Below are 21,917 nucleotides of genomic sequence, written 5' to 3' on the forward strand. Positions count from 1 at the left end.
CTACATTTTATGCATGCAGAAACCGAAGAACAGAGAAGTTAACCTATGTCAGTAAGAAATCAACCAATGATTTGAAGCTGGGCAGGCTGACCTTCCAGAATGGACATGCTTTATAACAAGTTTCACCCTGGATTAAGCACGTGAACTGAACTTCGGCCACACTAGTCTCAGCAAGATGTAAACTTTTAGCAGTGGACTCAAAATGCTGTATGCATAATGACTGAACAATAAAACAGAACAATCCAGTAAATCCTCAGCTCACAAATCACCCTGCCCTGTACCAGCAAAAAATGGAAAAATGTGTATGAACATATACTACCTTTGACTGATCTAGATTTTATTTCAAGTATCACCCTTATTATAAAACATACTCACAAACATTTCCAGTAGTGCATCTGTTATTATTTGAACTATGTCTTGTGCATGTGTGCTAGCTAGTGGGATGCTCTCTATTTTGCCTTCTGTGTGTCTGGCAAGCAGCAGGGCTGGAAGACTTGCAGCATATTTGGTTGACCTATGGAGAAAGGCAGTATTAAAATTCACGATCAAAATCTAGCATGTCAAAAACATGAAAATCTAGGCTAGGAGGTCACAGTGTGAGGCAGCAAATGGGAATTCCTACTGCTAAGGAAAAAAATGAACTCCATTTCCAGGCAAACTTATCTTCTATGACAACCTACATTAAAAGAAAGAAACAGGTAATGATCTATAACAAACTAGATTTTTAAAAAGCAACAAGGCAGTAATCTAGCCATATTTTTTTCTATACAACTTACTCAACAAGAAAATAAATCAGATTTGGAACACAGTGAATGGTTCTCGACCTTTCTGGACTTGCTCACCACAATGCTGAGTAAGAAAATGGGCATTTATGAGAAACCTACTATCTGCCAGGCACTATACTAGGTATTTCAATTATGTTTTTATTTAACTTTCAGAATGAAAGTGGCCATTATGACCTCATTTTGCAGATTAAGAAATAGGACTGAGAGAGTGATAAATGGCAGACACAGACTTCAAATGAGGTGTCCCTGACACAGTCTGTTCCTGACATAGTCTGTACTCTCTCCACTGAAACAAGAGCCCAAATCCACCCTCCCACAATCCCTTTCGCTAACTAAACCTAAAAGAAAATTATCTAAATAGAAGAAAGCTTTGTGTAAAATTACTAGTGAAGTAGTCATGTATAATAACTTAATTCATGCCAGAACAAAGTATAGACATTATAACAACATAAGCATTAGTTGAGAGGCCAGTTTTCAGGTCACTTAAAGGAACCTCTTAGTTGACCAGTTGGTTATAAACAAAACACACTCTGAAAACTACTGGTCTAGCTCTTTGGACCACAGCTAGACGCACAATGACAGCAGAGTAGAAGATCATGGGTGATTACCCATTGTCAGATGGACAGTCCTCATATTTCCTTCTTTAATATATACTTTATGAAAATCAGTGATTTCACAAATAGAACAAAAGCCTGATCACCAAGAGCATATGTCACCAGTGTTCAAGATGAAAGATTTAAGCTTAGAAATCACAATTAGGAATTTATAGTCAGAAGCTAAGAAAGACAAACTACTGGGGCTTAGTAAGTACACCTATACCTGAAAATGGGCCATAGAGAATGTGATATGTATTAATAATAATCTCCAAATTTGCAGTTCAGTCCTTCATTCTATAGCAACTAAAATATTTTGGTAGTCCATAGAAGTCCCACCTTCTACAGATAAGGTAATTTAAGAAGCTAAAAAAGCACTGATTTTTATACACACACGTACCCACTCACCCACCCAGGGGGTAAATAAAACCTCAGATGCTCAAAAAGAAAAATTTATCCCAAACTATGATAACTCCAAAGAACCACATTGTAGGTAATAGAACCCAAAGAGGAAAATTTTTATAGGAGGATGGTGAAGTACGAATCCAAGACTGCCCCATGGGGTCTTTGGTCTAAAATAAAAGAATAGCTAAAGAATCTAAAGTATTTCCCAGGTACTTTATTTCCTAGAAGGAAATAAAAAAAATTTCTTTAGATTGCTACCTTATTTTCCTCCATCAGCTGTGTAAATATAAGCAATTATTAGATAACATTATTTTGCATAATTTCTCCCTCCCTAAAATTAAAAGAGCAATAAACTTACAGTAGCAAAACATCTTCTTCAGAATAAATTCCAGTGATAACATATCCTTTTAGGTAGTTTCCTGCTTCACTAAAATCTTCTTTTGCTATAAATACATAGAGAAGACAAAAATCTGAAACCTTTATAATTATGTATGCTATTCAACTGATGAAGAGATTTATAGGTGGTAGTATTTCATTATTAATTAATTACAAAAATATTTAAGTGCAGATGTCTTATATAATTTAGTGGTTCCAAAATAAATCTGTATTCTCTTTATGACATGGGATTACTAAAGAAATGTCAATTGATATAATGCAACATGGCTTCCAAAACAAATGTACTCTAAATGTAATTCATAAGCTTTATAGCACTCTAATCATAATTACTGAATAAATACTTTTTGCCTTTTAATTTACTCCTATGGCAGAGTAAATGGAGACAGCTGTCTTATGTGTAGCCTGAAAAGAGAAGTAGGTATGTGAAATGATATGCACATTATAACCATAAAATCTGAAAGTATCTATATGCATAAAAAATAGCAGACTGAAAATTCTAGCCCTCTAACAGTGTCTGTGTTAGGGTTGTGCAAGTAGAAGGGATTCTGTGTCTTTTAAAAAACAATTCCTACATTTTCTCTAATGTGTTTTCATTAGTTTTGAACTTTGATTAATTTGTATTGTCTTTTCTCATTTGTTAGGATACACATATTCAAAATACAAGCTATTTCTACAAATTTCTGAATACATTTTCATTAATAATAGCATACTGTGGATCTTGTTAATAATGACTATCCTATAACCAAGAAGCAAGTCTGAATTAAATCATTGTAGACTAATGAGAAAAGCACAGAGGTGGACTTATAGGTCAAATTCTTGCCAAGTGAAGGCCAAATGATAATTCAATTCATACATGAAAGATTCACAGCAGTCAAACAGAAAAACACTCATGGAAGAATGAGTCACATAGTACCTACTAGGCTAGGCATGCTGAACCCAAAGATCTGTACCTCAGCAGTCAGCACTACATTCATGATGTAAGCATTCAACATTGTCAACATTGGGTAACCACAAGATTATTTTCTTTAAAAAGGGTACATACTTTCCCTAAGATTGAGCAATACTGTCTGTAGGAAAGCAAACTTACTAGAGTAGCTCAGTAGGCAGCATGGGGAGCTCATTTACAATCACAGATTTAATGAGACAACTGGCCAGGTGCGGTAGCTCACGCCTGTAATCCCAGCACTTTGGGAGGCGAGGTGGGTGGATCACTTGAGGACAGGAGTTTGAGATTAGCCTGGCCAACATGGTGAAACCCCATCTCTACTAAAATACAAAAATTAGCTGGGCATGGTGGCATGTGCCTGTAGTCCCAGCTACTCAGGAGGCTGAGGCATGAGAATCGCTTGAATTTGGGAGAAGGAGATTGCACTGAGCTGAGATCATGCCAGCCTGGGCCACAGAGCGAGACTCTGTCTCAAAAAAAATAAAAAGAGAGACGAGAGACAGAGAGAAAATTTATTAAAATATTTTTTTAGCCCATGCTACATCAAAGTAGAAAAGACACATGAGATTATAAACTAGAAAGGACTGTGTGTCTGTACTTTCATTTCTAAGAGTGAACAGAGTGAAATTCCAGTCAATGGATAAACTATATCTAAAGCAATGACATAACAGAATCTGTTTCAGCTTCTTTTCATTTTAGGTAAGTAGCAATAGAAAAGTACACCATTATTTCCATATAATTTCCTCATACAAAAGACTCTCTACTTATGAATATGTCTCTTAAAAAGTCTCTTCGTAAATCCATGTGTTTGTAAATCCTAAGTGACTCACAGGATGGGAAAATATATGACTGTAGATCTCAGATGCATATCCATTTCCACTAAACTAGAATACATATTTTCCTCTGAACATTCAAAACCAGGCATATTCTCCTCCTTGGTAAAAACTGTATATATGCCAAAATATATGGCAACCTCAAATACAAGAAAGTACTCAATTATCTGAATAAAAATATGCACAAAAAGCTTTTCAGCTACTATAAATATATTTTAATTGCATAAAATAAACATATTTATTTAGCAATATTATTTTTTCTACTATCACATCTTATTGAATAATTATTTTTATAGACACACACACATACATACATCTGTTTTTTAGCTCTGTCAGCAGGGAGAGCTGAGAAGCAAGAAAACCCCAGTAACTAAAAGCACTCCTAACCCCTATATTATACAAACTAGAAAACCTGAAAGAGATGGATAAACTCCTGGACACATACACACTACCAAGACTGAACCAGGAAGAAATTGATTCCCTGAACAGACCAGTAACAAGTTCTGAACTTGAATCAGTAATAAATAGCCTACCAACCAAAAAAAGCCCAGGACCTGATGGATTCACAGCCAAATTCTACCAGACATACAAAGAAGAGCTGATACCATTCCTATTGAAACTATTCCCAAAAATTAAGGAGGCGGGACTCCTCCCCAGCTCATTCTATGAAGCCAGCATCATCCTGATACCATAACCTGGCAGAGACACAACAAAAGAAGAAAATTTCAGGCCAGTATTCCTGATCAACATTGAAAATCCTCAACAAAGTATGCAAACTAAATCCAGTAGCACATCAAAAAGCTAATCTACCACAATCAAGTAGGCTTCATCCCTGGGATGCAAGGTTAGTTCAACATATGCAAATCAATAAATGTGATTTATCTCATAAACAGAACTAAAGACAAAAATCACATGATTATCTCAGTAGATGTAGAAAAGGCCTTCAATAAAATACCCCTTCATGTTAAAAACTCTCAATATACTAGGTACTGAAGAAACACACCTCAATAAGAGCCATCTATGACAAACCCACAGTCAACATCATACTGAATGGGCAAACGTTGGAAGTAATCCCCTTGAAAACTGGCACAAGACAAGGACACCCTCTTTCACCACTCTTACCCAATGCAGTCTTGGAAGTCCTAGCTGGAGAAATCAGGCAAGAGAAAGAAAAAAAGAGCATCCAGGCTGGGCACAGTGGCTCACTCCTGTAATCTCAGCACTTTGGGAGGCCGAGGTGGGAGGATAACGTGAGCTCAGGAGTTTGAGACCAGCCTGGGTAACACGGCTAAACCCCATCTCTACTAAAAATGCAAAAATTAGATCTCTGCAAGGAGAATTATAAAACACTGTTCAAAGAAATCAGAGAAAACACAAACAAATAGAAAAACATCCCAAGCTCATGAATGGGAAAAAACAATATCATTAAAATGGCCATACTGCCCAAAGCAATCTATAGATTCAATGCTATTCCTATCAAACTACCAATGATATTTTTCACAGAACTAGAAAAAAAGTATTTCAAAAATCGTATGAAAGTCAAAGAAGGTTGAACATTATCTTCTGACAATGTTTTTCATGTAATTTTCCATAATAAATTAACCTGTTCATTATCTCTCTTTTGGATGTTGCAGGGGCCCTCTGTAACATTTGAAAGTTACTTTGAGGTCAAAAAGACTTAATTTTGAACTTGATTTTGGGAAGCCTATTAAATATGTCAAAAGTTTAAAACACTTATCAAAATAGATCACAGGTCACTGTAAAATAAATCATTTATTTAGCCAAAGTGATAATTAAGAGGTTTTAAAAAGCAAAGACCTTTATTTGTTGATTAAAAAAGGACTCAGAATATGTCTATAGAATATGTCTCTTCTTTCTCCCTTTTTTGAGAGTTTATTCAAAACGTGAATGAAAGTGTTTTATTGTGTCTTATTAGTATTACATGAAATTTATGTGCAAAAGAGAAAACTAAATTTGTATTCTTTTATTAGTGTATTATCAATTCTAAAGCTGATTTTAATAAAAACTTATATACAAATCTCATTTCAGTCAGCTTTTAATCACACAAGATTTTAAAATAAACTTTGTAATCTCATAACAATTTTGAAGTTTTCTAACTTTCTACAATTTATTTAGTTTTATCTATATCTTTTAGTTCTTTTAATTTGAAACAATCTTTAAATAACTTCTTTTTTTCTCACATTTTTATGCCTTTATAACTTTCCTCACCAAAAATATATCTTGCTTTTTTAATAGACTCTTTATTTAGAATTCTCTTACATTTAGTAGTTTTAATTATATTATGTTAGCTATAATTTTGACTCTTAGTAACCCAAATTTCTAGTAAAAACCTAGAAATTAATTTTGAACTGTTTTATATCAATATTTGTAGATGAAAATCATTTATAATTTTTAGATATTTTAATTTTATTAACAAATCTAAATATATTTAGCTTTTTTATATCATGTAAAAATAAGATGTCAAAGTACATAAACAAACATATGTTTGATAATTAATTTTAGTATTTTAACTTATTTAGGAATGACTCAGACATTTTATTATTATTTAACATGACTTAAAGATTTTTAATTATTGGAAAATAAATTATGACACAGGTACCCTCCTTAATGTCTTTCTCAGTTGTCCTTAGTCCTGAGTACCCATGTGGCACCTGATGCCTATAAAAGGCAGGGCTCTTTTGGGTCCTAAATTTACATACCAGATGTCAGGACAGAAGACAGAGCTGTGAAGAGGATGTCTGGTGGATCTGACCACTCCCAGCATGGCCATGAGGCAAATCTGGGCCAAGCAAGGAGGAACAAGGGGCCCTGCAGCAGGTGGCCTAAGCATTGACGACATGCCTCCAGGCCTTACCATGGCCACCTGTCCAGACCCCAGAATCTTGAAGCTCAAAACCAAAGACCAGCTTATAGTAAGATGTGTGCAAAGCTCTAGGGAAGCTCAACAGCCAGCTTTAGCCCACAGACAAATCAAGCAAGTGCCAAAAATATTATAGAAAATTAGCAGTTTTATGACCTTAAAACATGTAAAGACAGCATAAACCTGTCTGACCAGTAGATCCAGGCAAAAATATCTGAATTATATTTAAGTTACACTCTTGAAGCCATTTTTATTTTACTTTGTTAACAACTTTGAAACTAGATTTACCAAATATCACACATACATAACACATATAGACATAGAGACATCCAGACAGAAGCAGATTTTATGGCTTTTATACAAAATTTTCATTTGCTGGCTTTTAAATGGTTTCTCTTTTATTTTTTTAAACCTATAGTCAGCAAGTTCTTTATATTTTTGTTTATATTTTTTTTTAGAGACACAGTCTTCCTGTGTAGCCTAGGCTGGTCTTGAACTCTTAGCCTCAAACATTCCCCCCACCTCAGCTTCCTGAGTAGCTGGGATTAGACAGACTCTCACTCCATCATCCAGACTGAGTGCAGTGGCACAATCTTGGCTCATTGCAATCTCCGCCTCCTGGGTTGAAGCAATTCTTATGCCTCAGCCTCCCAAATAGCTGGAATTACAGGCACATGCCACCATGCCTGGCTAATTTTTGTATTTTTAGTAGAGACAGGGTTTCACCATGTTGCCCAGCCTGGCTGGTGTTAAAAACTCCTGACCTCAAGTGATCTGCCTGCCTCGGCCTCCCAAAATGCTGGGATTATAGGCATGTGGAAATATAAGCCACTGTTCCTGGCCCTGGCTACCTGTTATAAAGGGTCTTTTAAAACAGGCAATAAAAATACTGAAATCTTTTCAGAAGCTTCTGCACACCAATAGGCATCCCTGAATAAGCCTAATTAGAGAGTCCTCATTTTTAAATGTACTTCTAAAGTGTAGCATTTTTCATTTGAAATGTTCTACTGCAACTTTAAATTACCTTTAGTAACATTTTGCCATTTTTGTAAGTGTTTGTAGGTAGTTGTAGCCAGAAAGTGGAGTACTCAGTTCTTCAGAAATTAAGGATCTCATTTTTATGTTGAATCTTGGCTTTGGCTCTCAGATTTCCTCACAACTTAGTCATTGACTTTTTTCCTACCTATGAGTGCAAGAAAAAGAAACAAAGGGGATAGAACACAAAAGTCCCTGCAAATTTCTGAAAGCTGAAGTTCATACTACCTACAATATTGCCATTTACTGTCAGTTTCTGTCTGATTCAGACATCTGAGGCCTTTAACTAGATCTAAGTCAGTTAATTATCAGACCTAATTTGATCCTGGACCCAGTCCAGTTTCTGTAACAACTTCCAAACCCAGTTCAGATAAAAAAAAAAAAAAATCTGCTCAAACAAACTCAGATAGCTCAGAACACAAAGCCGTGGAGCTTCAAAGTCTGAAAGAGAACTTACCCACGATCCCCAGTGGCTGCGAGAGAGCAATGGACACAATGGGCCCAGCGGGTACACCATTTGGTCACTCTATGCTTCCGGGGGTCGCTGGAAGTTCTACTATAGGTCCTATTTCTGACACCATCTGTTAAAAGAAAAACTTTGAACTAAATTTAATAGAGTTTAACCGATCAAAGAACCATTTGCGGCTGGGCAGCCCCCCCAAACCAGAATAGGTTCATGGCAACCTCAGTGCTACCATGAAGTCAGAAAGGATTTACAGACAGTAAGAGGAAGTGAGGTGAAGAAATAGCTGGATTGGTTACAGCTTGGCATTTGTCTTATTTGAACAGGATTTGAACAGTTGGCCACCTTTGATTGACCAAAACTTGGTGAGTGGTATAAGAGTTGGTTATAGTCTGTTTATACATTTAGTTAGGTTACAGTTCACTACTTATAGAGAAACCTTTAGTCTGAACTTAAAATATATACGGAGGCAGCTTTAGGCTAAATTTAACACGAGTTAGCTTTTATTAACAAAACACAAATTTATATAGAAATGTTAATAAATTCATAAGATTTTTATCATTATTTATTCTCTCTTCAATAGATGTTGATAGTCCAGCTACTAATATATCAGTGTTTGCAAAAAAACAAAAACAAACTAAAAGAAATAAAAAGGAACGAATATCTAACTGACAATGTTGGGAACAATCAATCCAGTCAAATAATGAAGTTATCATATCCAGGCTACATCATTCTGGCACACCAGAACTACCTTTAAATAATTTAACATTACGTTTTTGACTTGTATTGCGAGATGACTGTATGTACATTTTATCATCATTTGTGTAAAAATATGATCAAGTACACCATTTCTTATGTTGATTCCCAATGTAAAAAATAATATGAAAAATTCTTTTCAATATTTGAATTAGGAAAAAGTTTTCTCTGTGGATTAATCAGCATCCTAACTTGTGTGTTGTGATTTATTACATATGACGATAGACGGCAAAAATTTCATCTTTTTGTTTCTAGTTGCTACCAGATTGCTTAGGGCTAAGTTTTATGACAAACGACAGTGTTTTCTAGACTTTCTACATAATTACCCCCTACTGTTTTATTGCTGAGTTTTTACACTGTTTTCAATGATTTTATCCTATTTGTGCTTTTTATGATCTGAAGACTTAAATTCTTCTTGGAAGGAGGCCTAGTGTGAATAATAAATGAGAAGGTTAGGGCACCAGGCACCTGAGGTACAGAGAGGACACTGTCAACCGTTGGAGCAAAAACATTCAAAAGGGAAGGAAGGTGGAGGAGTAAAACACAGACTTACTTCCCAATTTTTCATAAAAATTTTTTTTTTCATTAGAAGGTTATGCTCTCTATAAGGCCAGGTGCGGTGGCTCACGCCTATAATCTCAGCACTTTGGGAGGCTCAGGTGGGCAGATCACTACAGGCCAGGAGTTTGAGACCAGCCTGGCCAACACAGTGAAACCCTGTCTCTACTAAAAAGACAAAAAATTAGCTGGGCGTGCTGCTGCATGGCACATGTCTGTGGTCTCAGTACTTGGGAGGCTGAGGCATGAAAACTGCATGAACCTGGGAGGTGGAGGTTGCAGTGAGCCAACATCATGCCACTGCATGTCACTGAGCCTGGGTGACAGAGCAAGACTCTGTCTCAAAAAAAATAAAAAATATAAAGATATGCTCTCTAGGATTTTGCCTTCAAAGATGATAAGCCACAGGGCACATATTAATATTCTTATTATTTATTTTTTGTAAGTTCCTTTCGTTTTTACTTTTTACAATTCTGAAAACAAAGTAGAAAAAAATTGCTAGATGTAAATTTGTAGAAAGCAAAATTTAATATGTAGTTAATAGTATCTACTATGTGCAAACATAATGCTAGACCAGTGGGGTCCTCTTCTCAGACAAATATTCTTAAACTCTTTCATTCAGAATTTGAAATCCAACTCAAGAAAAGAAAAACAAGGAGGAGGGAAGTTTCCTAGATAAATGGTAAGAGTTAGTATAATGAAGTAAACATTGGCCAGGCGCAGTGGCTCACGCCTGCAATGCCAGCACTTTGGGAGGCCGAGGCGGGTGGATCACGAGGTGAGGAGATCGAGACCATCCTGGCTAACACGGTGAAACCCCGTCTCTACTAAAAATACAAAGAGTCAGCCGGGCTTGGTGGCGGGCGCCTGTAGTCCCAACTACTCGGGAGACTGAGGCAGGAGAATGGCGTGAACCTGGGAGGCCGAGCTTGCAGTGAGCCGAGATCGCGCCACTGCACTCCAGCCTGGGCGACAGAGCAAGACTCCATCTCAAAAAAAAAAAAAAAAAAATTGAGGGTTTTGTTACCGACTCAAGAGGCCACCTAGATGCAAAAGCAACAAATAACATTCCCAGAAATACTATCGGTCAGAAAAAACACCCTATGTGTACCCTTCCTTAAAAACTTATTGAAAGACACATTCCTGTGAAGCAAGAGATAAATAAAGAGTAACGGTCTAAGTAAAGAGAAGGTGTGATATTTAAAAAATACTGTAGTTTATGCTGCCATGTAAAACTATCAAAGTAAAAATAATTGTTATAAGCATATCAAAGTTGAATGCAAAAACATTAATTTGAATTGCATCAAAAATAAGATGAATTAATAAGTAGAAAGATATACAGGTATATACTAAAGCAAATATAAAATGTTAATGGTAGAATCTAGGTGGTGAGTATATGGGTGTTCACTGTACAATTCTTTGAACTTTGCTGTGTGCTTGAAAAAGTTCATAATAAAATGTTGGAAAAGTGAATGAAGGATTTTCTTTCAAAAATTTCCAACATTTTATTACGTATGATGCAATAAATAATTAAATAAATAAATAAAAGCTCAGCAATAAAGGTAATATGAATCCATAACATGAAACCATGGCATACAAAGAAAAAAAAACCATAGAACCCCATCTCTACTAAAAATACAAAAAGTAGCCAGGCATGGTGGCACATGCCTGTAGTCCCAACAACCTGGGAGAATGAGGCAGGAGAAATGCCTGAACCTGGGAGGCAGAGGTTGCAGTGAGCTGAGATCACACCACTGCACTCCAACCCGGATGACAGAACAAGACTCTGTCTCAAAAAAAAAAAAAAAAAAAAAAAAGACTTCAAAAAAGAAATTAAAAGCATCTTCCACAAGAGGGAGTCCAAATCATTGAAACGATCTTTAACTTTATAGGTTCAAATATGTTTTTGGGGAACATTTTCTCTAGTCCTGGAGAAAATACAAGCAAAAGAAGCAGACACCATATTTTAAAAAATAAAGAAAAATGGCCAGGCGCGGTGGCTCATGCCTGTAATCCCAGCACTTTGGGAGGCCGAGATAGGCGGATCACAAGGTCAGGAGATGGAAACCATCCTGGCTAATGCGTTAAAACCCCGTCTCTATTAAAAATATAAAAAAATTAGCGGGGCATGGTGGCAGGCTCCTGTAGTCCCAGCTACTCGGGAGGCTGAGGCAGGAGAATGGCGTGAACCCGGGAGGCGGAGCTTGCAGTGAGCCGAGATCACGCCACTGCACTCCAGCCTGGGTGACAGAGCAAGACTCCATCTCAAAAAATAATAATAATAAAAAATAAAGAAAAACAATAATGAAGCATAAAACAAGCAGCAGATATCCAAATCAGTTAAGAGAATAAGTATAAATTACTAATGTTCACCTAGTAGAGTCAATAGAAAAAAAAACAAGAAAATATTTAAAAAGACAGATCAGAGACTTGACTCTATATTCAACATGTATTATAAAACTAATAGACTAAGTATCAATAGGTAAAGTGAATAAAATAGAAAACAATTAAACAGACATATATCACACACACACACATATAGATAAGGACAACATGGTGCTGGTGAAATCACATATAGAGGAGAAAAAAAGGATAAACGTTAACTATTAGAAAAAAAATTAAGTTGGCACCAACACTCATCCCATGCACTAAAATATCTAAAGGGTTAAAAACTTTTAAAAAAGGGAAAAAAATCACAATCAACAGAGTAAAAAAGCAATCTATGGAATGAGAGAAAATATTTACAAATCAAATCTTTGATAAAGGATAATATCCAGAATATATAAAGAATTTCTGCAACAAAAATATAAATAACCCAATTTAAAAACAGGCAAAGGAGTTACAGACATTTCTCCAAAGAATATATACAAATGACCAAGAAGCATAATGAAAAGATGCTCAGCATCACTAATCGTCTGGGAAATGCAAATCAAAGCCACAACAAGATATCACCTCACACCCATTAAGATGGCTATCATAAAAAATAAAATAAAATAACGAATATTGGCAAGGATGTTAAAGTCATTGGAACCCCTGTACACTGTTGGTAGGAATGTAAAATGATGCAGCCAGGGCGGAAAATAGTACTGCGGTTCCTCAAAAACTAAAAACAGAATTACCATATGACCCAGCAATTCCACTTCTCAGTATGTACTCAAAATAATTGAAAGCAGAGTACCAGAGAGATATTTCCATACCCATGTTCACAACCGCGTTATTCACAACAGCCAAGAGGTAGAAGTAACCCAAAAATTCATTAATGGATAAACAGATAAACAAAATAAGATATATACATACAATGGAATACTATTCGGCCTAAATTGGAAGGAAATTCTGACACACACTACAATATAGATGAACCCTGAAGACATTATGCTAAGTGAAATAAGTCAGTCAGAAAAAGATAAATACTGTATGATTCCACCTGTATGAGGTACATAGAGTAGCCAGACTCATATAAACAGAAAGTAGAGTGGTGGTTACCAGGGCCTGGGAGGAGGATGAAATGAAAAGCTGTTGTTTAATGAGTACAGAGTTTCAGTTTTGCAAGATGAAAATGTTCTGGAGATTAGTTGTACAACAATGTGAATATACTTAATACTTGTAAAACATACACTTAAAAATGGGTAAGATGGTAAATTTTACGTTATGTGTATGTTATCAAAATTTTTTTAAAAGAAAAAATATACAAAGCAAGACAAATTAAAATAGGAAAATATTGTAAATTAAAGCAAGAAAAAATACAGGTGAATATTAGGTGACAAAAATGATAGGGTTTTTTATAGCTAAAAGCAATAGAAGAAATCTTAAAATCAATAGATTAAAAAAATTTTAAACTGTGATATACAAAATTATCATTAAACAAAGCTAAAGAGCAAATAACAGACTGAGGGAAAATAACTGAAACAAAATGACAAAAGCTTAATATCCTTAATATACAAAGGTCTCACACCAATTCATTAGACAAACAGTAAAACTCCATTTTAAAAAGTGAGTGGGCAAGTACAGTGGCTCATGCCTATACTACCAGCACTTTGGGAGGCCAGGGCAGGAAAACTGCTTGAGCCCAGGAGTTTGAGACCAGCCTGGGCAACACAGGGAGACCTCATCTCTATGAAAAATTAAAAAATTAGTGGGCATGGTGGCACATGTCTATAATCCTAGCTACTCAGGAGGCTGAGGTGGGAGGCTCACTTAAGCCCAGGAGGTTGAGTGTGCAGTGAGCTGTGATTGTGTCACTGTACTCCAACCTGGGCAATAGGGCGAGACCCTGTCTCAAAAAAAAAAACAAAAAACCATGAGTAATGTATATAACCTACAATTTATAGAAGACATACGTTATTCTATTGGGAACCTAAACTCATTATATGGTCTAAAATCCATACAAAGACTCAAAAATATTCTTCACATACAGAAGGAAAAAAAAAGGAAACAGTACAAATATTGTTCATAAATAGTTAAATAAGGCCAGGTGTGGTGGCTCACATCTGTAATCCCAACACTTCGGCAGGCCAAGATGGGTGGATCACTTGAGCTCAGAAGTTCAAGACCAGCCTGGGCAACATGGTGAAATCCTGTCTCTACAAAAACACAAAAAATTAGCTGGGCATGGTGGCACATGTCTGTGGTCCCAGTTACTCAGGAGGTTGAGATGGGAGGATTGCTTGAGCCCAGGAAGCAGAGATTGCAGTGAGCCGAGATCATGCCATTGCACTCCAGCCTAGGTGACAGAGCAAGATCTCGTCTCAAAAAAAAAAACAAAAAACAAATTTAAATACATTTTGATATATATATTCACCAAATATTATGTAGCCATAATGTTCATGAAGAATATCAATACATCATTGTAATGTTAAATAAAAACAAGATTCTGGCTAGGTGCGGTGGCTCACCCCAGCACTTTGGGAGGCCAAGGCAGGCGGATCATGAGGTCAAGAGATGGAGACCATCCTGGCCAACATGGTGAAACCCCGTCTCTACTAAACACACAAAAATTAGCTGGGCATGGTGGCATGTGCCTGTAGTCCCAGCTACTCAGGAGGCTGAGGCAGGAGAATCACTTGAACCCAGGAGGCAGAGGTTGCAGTGAGCCGACATCACGCCACTGCACTCCAGCTTGGTGACAGAGCGAGACTCTGTCTCAAAAAAACAAAACAAACAAAAAAAACGCAAGATTCTAACCTAGATACACAGTTTTAGCCCAATTATGTTAAAACATACATAAATATGCAATCTGTAGGTACACAGAAAAAAGATGGAAGAAATTACATCAAAATTTAACACTATCTCTGAATAATTAGCTTACGATATTTTATTTTTCTTCAAACTTCTCCATAATTTTGAAATTCTCTATAATTTAAAAAGATATTCTTAAAAAATAAAACTAGCAAGCAATGATATACTCTACTGTATAATTTAAAAGCTCAGCTCTGCTTACCTGTTTTCATGGTTGGACTAAATAGTCCCAATACTGACACACTAGAATACAAGATGAGGTCTTTATATAATTCCCCACTTAAATATTCTTCTGCTTCTTGGATCGATGTTATATTCACTGGATATGAAATCCTGTTGCTGGATAAACATATAACTATATTACAAATTAATTTTTTAAGATATTTTCAGTTTGTAAAAAAAAAGCATACTAAACATAGCAAACAATATATTACATAGGATAATATCTTACAAAATATAGAAAATTAAATATTATTCTTAAAGAAAATCAGACTCATTAAACAAAATTGCTATCTCCCGAAAAGTGTTGAAATGTACACAGACTTTCATAAATATTCATTTTGTGATCTCAATTCTAGTATCTTCCTTAACCTATTTTAAGTGTTAGCAAAGTCTGAGAATTAGAACTTCTAAAGACCTAAACATTCAGAGATCTTATAATGAAGCTGAATACTTACAGCTGGATAAATTTTAGGAGATCTTCGGTTCCTAACATTCCAGCATAAGATACTGGGTTCTCGCCTTTCTTGTACATCTTTATGATAGGAAATTCAGTAACATTTTGCTTAGTACATACATCAGACCAATCTGCACAGTTTATTCTAGTAAGAAGCATAGTAGATGTGCCTAAATAAAAGGAAAATGCACATTTGTAATTACTAATTGTAGAAAATGCATTTGCTTAGGATCTTCAGTATTTTTCTATCCCATTCTTATTTTAACCTCTCAGCATGAAACACTCCTGCTTAAACACTCTCTTCCCTTGATCTTTGCAACACCATTCCCTGTTGGCCTTTTCCCTTCCTTTCTAGCTTCTCCTTTTTGTTCCCTTTTGCAGGCTCTTCAGCCAGTAGAGTTGGAGGTCCCTCAAGGCTCAGCTTAAGCTGCCTTCTCTTGTTTTTCTTCACTCCTGTCCTACACAACCTCAATAACCATAGACAATCTAATGAATCCTAAATTTATGTCTTTGGCCCAAACTCCTTGAAGTTCCAGACCCATATATCCTTACTACCTTCTCTGTTTTCCTTTGAACGGAAACCTCCTCAAACTCAACAAGTCTAAAACCATATATGGTTTCTTTTCTGTTTGTTGGTGAACGTTGCTGCTCTTGTGCAACTCAAAAAACAAAGCATCATCTTTCATACCTCTCCATTCCCAAGGCCCTTCATGCCTATTGATTAATCAGCATGTTCTTTCAATTTTACCACCTGAATTTTTAATATATCTAATTACTGTCCATTTCTCTTTACTGCCACTACTCAAGTTGTCGTTCCTCCTGGATAACTACAATAGGCTTCTAATTCGCCTCTTTGAATTCAGTGTGTCTACACTAATGCTAGAGATATCTTTTCAAAACTCAAATATTTTGGTACCAGCTTACCCCCACCAACCTTTTGCAGAATTAAATCTTTCTTACCGTGTACAACTTCAAGGACTAGCCTTCTCTGACACAGTGATCTACATCAGGTTCCCTTGACATATGCTATTATAGAACCATGCTCTTTTCCTTATCTCCTTATGTAATTATATACTATTCATTATCTGATCAACGTCTGTCTCTACCAAGACAACTCCTTGAGAGCAGGGACTATGTCTGTTTATTTATCATTGATTTTCCAGCACCTGCAGTACCTTAAATATGCATGTGAATAAATGACACATGTGAAACTCATCCAGGACTTCAGATACCTATCCTGTCTAAACATTATAATTTCTTTTCAGCCTAAGAAAACACACAGTAGAATCTCAAGCAGAAATTCCTACTTGCTCTATAATAAAACGTGTAAAGTTCTCTAAAATATTATAAATCACTGTGTGGAAAGAGATCAAACACTAAATAAAATAAGCACCATACAACTCGAAAGAATAAATTCTAATAAAAGATAAAATTTAGTATCATACTAGATCAAAGAAGGAATCTTTGTGTATCAATTTAGGATATAGCCTAAATGTTACTTCATCATATGATTAAAATTGTGAATGTGGTATTTTAATATTTTATCACCAAATGTTTTTAATACTGAAATTAATTTGTATATTTTCAAAGATTCTTGATTACTTCTCATAGATGTAATAACTTATCACTTTAGATTTAGTGTTAACAATCTGATAATATAGGCAAGATTTAGTCTGTCTTTTTTTTTTTTGCTTTTGTATATTTGAGATGTAGTCTTGCTCTTGTTGCCCAGGCTGGAGTGCAGTGGCGTGATCTCGGCTCACTGCAACCTTCCTCTCCCGAGTTCAGGCGATTCTCCTGCCTCAGCCTCCCGAGTAGCTGGGACGACAGGCACGTGACACCATGCCCGGCTAATTTTTTCTATCTTTAGTAGAGACAGGGTTTCACCATGTTAGCCCTAGGATGGTCCTGATCTGACCTCGTGATCTGCCTGCCTCAGCCTTCCAAAGTGCTGGGATCACAGGCGTGAGCCACCGCGCCCGGCCTTAAGTCTGTCTTATCACCACTATATCCCACTGCCTTGCACAATGTCTGTTACACAGTATGTACCCAGTAAAAATGTGTAGAATGTACACTGATATTTCTTCACAAATTTTAAATTCTTACATTAAAGGATATTAATACTTGAATTTTGTATGAGCATATAAACAAATATAAACCCTTATTTCTTCCCAAATCAGACCTGCTAAGTGACTTCCTATCAAAGTTCTCTTATCCTTTATTTTAATCATTTTGATATAGGAGTGAAGAAGAAATCACTTAGGCAGATAGCAAGGGTATGGGGAGTCCTCGGTAAGGTTTTTCTTTTTAGTGAAAAGCAGCCCCAAATCTTTTTCTAACAAAGAGCAGCCTGCAAGCTGCAAGGGTGCACGTACCGGCAGGAACTAAGGACTAGACGTTTCCAAGATGGCCGCTCTGTCTTCCCTTCTCTGCCAGCCATGTGTGCTGTAAGGAGCAGACAAGATGGCCCCAGACAACTGGAAAGACCATTTGTATAAGAAGATTAAGGTGGGGCGACCAGACTTCCCTATGCCACTATGTAAATATCATACCTGACTGAAGCAATCTATGAGCCCTATGTAAATCAGACACCACCTTCTCAAACTAGACTATAAAACTCGACACATTCGCTGCCAGCCAGTCCTTTCCACTTGGAGATGCCTTCCTCTATAGAGGAAGCTGTTTCTCTTTCTCTCCTCTCTATTGAACCTCTGCTCCTAAACAACTTGTGTGTGTCCGTGTTCTAAATTTTCCTGGTGCGCGACAACGAACCCCAGGGTATATACCCCAGACAACGCTGCTGCTTTGATTTCATCAATAAACATCTGGTGATGCTTGTTTATACAAAGTGCCACGTTACATATTTTGCCACCCAAGTATGGAATATAGTGCTCTTCCAGCTGCAGTTCTTTCCTTTCAATAAGCATCCTCAGCATGTCTACTACTGCTAAAACTGTGATTATTCCTTTTTCCCTACAGTTGAAATGGAAAACTTTGATGTTATCTTTAAAACCAGAAAAGTAATACTGATATATATCACTAAAAGTTATATAACTACTTATACTGAAGTTATCAATTCCTGTAAAATGGTTCCAATATTTACTCATGTTTCAGTTGGAATAGTCTAGTATTCTAAGGTGCCTACAGTATTACATCCCATATACTTTATCAATGCAGTAATTTCAAATAGGTTCCTAACTTAAAAGAAAAAACAGATTATCTTAGATACAGGTATTATGTAAGTATAAAATTTTGACATTTGCTGCCACCTTGTGACAGAGTAAAAAACATTCTTCATTGTCTTCGACTAAGAGATAACAAATGGCTTTTTCCCACAAAGTCAGATCTGTCAGAAAGACAGATGATAGGACTAAATGCCCAAGGTATTATATTTTCCTAACTTATAAAGTTATAGTATAGGCTTCAACATAGACACAAAACATTGTAATTACCTATGCAATGCATTTCTACATTAAGTTCCCTGAACTTCCAAAATAGTCCATTTATCTGATATCTGATTACCAAAAAAAATTGTTATTCATAAAGAACATAGTGAATGAAAAGGAAAACAAGTCCTGGGTTGCTTAACTACTTTTTTATTCTACAAACACATACAACTCTGAGCCCTTGCATTGAGGGGGCAGGTAGTCTCTTCATTTGGTCATTAATAGAAAAGAATGCAAGGAAATATTTTTCCATTTTCATCTGGTGTCTAATTAAATGGGGTGGAGAGAGGGATAATTAATCATATTCTTGAGGAACATTATCCAATCACTACTTCATTATGATTTATATTTTCTCCTCCTTTGCTTTTCTTCTAATTATTTGCCAATAAGGCTAGAGAATCTAAAAGAAGAAAACTTAAATTTGTCCATAGATTGCAACTTGCCTTGCATAAAGGAAAATGTGAAAGCAAGTAAGAGGATCTGCTTTTTAAAAAAATGATTAGAGGCTGGGCGCAGTGGCTCATGCCTATATTCCCAGCACTGTGGGAGGCTGAGGCAGGTGGATTACCTGAGGTCAGCAGTTTGAGACCAGCCTGGACGCTGTCTCTACTAAAAATACAAAAACTAGCCAAGCACGGTGGTGCACACCTGTAATCCTAGCTACTCGGGAGGCTGAGGCAGGAGAATCACTTGAACCCAGGAGGCGGAGGTTGCAGTGAGCTGAGATCATGCCATTGCACTCCAGCCTGGGCGACAAGAGTGAAACTCCATCTCAAAAAAAAAAAAAAATTACAGATCACAGTGTCTACAGACTTCATTATCCCCTCACTCAGTAATAATCAAAAGTTAGATCAAATGTGGTTGGGAAATAAAAGGAACGGGGACAGACAGAACAGCGTGTGGAGGCTCGCCTCATGAACTTTTGCTCCAAAACTGCAGCAATACATTAGGAAAGCCAAAAGAACCCACAGACCCTCTGAAGGAAGTGATTGCACCTGCAGGACCTGGGAGACACCCCAAATACTGTGAGTGCTCAAACTGTGGAAGTGGGAAAGGCAGATCGTCCACCCCTGAACACACACCCCACCACCGGGGAACCTAAAGGTCTAGATTACGGGAGAAGATTCTGACCTTATCTGGAGCTTAGTCAATTTAGAGAGCTGAGCGAAAGCGAAATACACGGGTAAAGGAAGCAGCAGGAAAATCCCTGTGGACTAGCTGGGTCCCCTACCAAGCCATTTGTGCCTCACCTCACAAGGGGTCCTTGAGGAGGGCTACCAGAGGCACTCAGAGAAGGCCACAGAGAAAAGGAAACCTCCCCCTGAAATTTGTAACAATTTGAACCAATCGAAGAGTCTCCTGGCCAGAACTCGGGGGAGGGCATGAATCCAGCGTGCAGACTCCACAGGCTGGGGAAGAAAGAAAGCCCTACTTATTTTTGCAGCTGGGAGGCAGGTAGCCTGGGGCAGGTTCTCAGCCCTGGTCACCCACTGCCTGGAAACAGACTTGGTGCTGTTGAGTGGGGGCACAGTGGAAGTGAGACTGGCCCTTTGGGTTGTGTGGGAGCTGGGTGAGGCCTGTGACTGCCGGCTTTCCTCCACTTCCCTGACAACCTGCATGACACAGCAAAGACAGCCATAATCCTCTTAGGAACATAACTCCATTGACCTGGGACCCTCACCCTCATCCCCCACAGCAGACGCAGCAAGACCTGCCCAAGTAGAATCTGAGCTCAGACACGCCTAGCCCTGCCCCCATCTAATGGTCCTTCACTACCCACCCTGGTAACTGAAGACAAAGGGCATATACTCTTGGGAGTTATAGGGTCCTGCCTACTGCCTGTTCCTCCCGATACCAATGCACTTTCAAGCCAATGCTCTCTTGAAAGTGCCATCTCCCAGCAGGAGGTAAACCAGCACAAAAATAGTGCATTAATCAACCAAAGCTAAGGACCCTCACAGAGTCCATTTAGCCCTTCTGCCACCTCCACTAGAACAGGTGCCAGTATCCATGGCTGAGAGACCCACAGATGGTTGACACCACAGGACTCTGTGTAGACAACCCCAAGTACCAGCCTGGAGCCTGGTAGACTTGCTGGGTGGCTAGATCCAGAAGGGGGATAACAATCACTACAGCTCGGCTCTCAGGAAGCCACATCCCTAGGAAAAGGGAAAGAGTACTACATCAAGGGAACACTCTGTGGGACAAAAGGAACTGAACAACAGCCTTGAGCCCTAGACCTTCCCTCTGACAGAGCCTACCCACATGAGAAGGAACCAGAAAACCAACTCTGGTAATATGACAAAGCAAGATTCTTTAACTCACCCCCGCAAAAAAATCACACTAGCTCTCCAGCAATGGATCCAAACCAAGAAGAAATCCCTGATCTACCTGAAAAAGAATTCAGAAGGTTAGTTATTAAGCTAATCAGGGAGGTGCCAGAGAAAGGCAAAGCCCAATGTAAGGAAACTGAAAAAAAATTATGCAAGAAGTAAAGGGAGAAATATTCAATGAAATAGATAGCATAAATAAAAATCAATCAAACCCTCAGGAAACAATAGACGCACTTATAGAAATGCAAAATGCTCTGGAAAGTCTCAGCAATAGAATCAAACAAGCAGAAGAAAGAATTTCAGAGCTTGAAGACAAGGTCTTCGAATTAACCCAATGCAACAAAGACAAAGAAAAAAATAAGAAAATATGAACAAAGCCTCCAAGAATTTGGGATTATGTTAAACAACCAAACCTGAATAATCAGTGTTCTTAAGAAGAGAAATCTATTTGGAAAATATATTTGGGGGAATAACCAAGGAAAACTTCCCCAGTCTTGCTAGAGAACTAGGCATCCAAGTACAAGAAGCCCAGAGAAACCTGGGAAATTAATCACAAGAAGATCAATGCCTAGGCAC

The 21,917-nt window shown here is 37.3% G+C and overlaps 1 protein-coding gene across 5 annotated transcripts in view; it reads right to left on the reverse strand.

Annotated features, from left to right (window-relative positions):
• Positions 1–21,917, reverse strand: part of TXNDC16 (thioredoxin domain containing 16) — a 121,910-nt gene that overhangs the window by 24,353 nt on the left and 75,640 nt on the right. For 2 of the 5 annotated variants that reach the window (NM_001160047.2, NM_020784.3), the window contains exons 15-18: positions 15,564–15,732; positions 15,089–15,225; positions 2,142–2,226; positions 376–514 (exon numbers count right to left, since the gene is read on the reverse strand). In NM_001160047.2, the coding sequence (NP_001153519.1) occupies positions 376–514; positions 2,142–2,226; positions 15,089–15,225; positions 15,564–15,732 (530 nt within the window). Of the gene's footprint in view, positions 1–375; positions 515–2,139; positions 2,227–7,863; positions 8,023–8,331; positions 8,456–15,088; positions 15,226–15,563; positions 15,733–17,937; positions 18,040–21,917 lie in introns of those variants that run through there. The other 3 variants (XR_007064037.1, XR_007064038.1, XM_017021505.2) reach the window with 3 other exon arrangements.

This window comes from Homo sapiens, chromosome 14 (genome assembly GCF_000001405.40).
Source record: "Homo sapiens chromosome 14, GRCh38.p14 Primary Assembly".
NCBI classification, from domain to species: domain Eukaryota; kingdom Metazoa; phylum Chordata; class Mammalia; order Primates; family Hominidae; genus Homo; species Homo sapiens.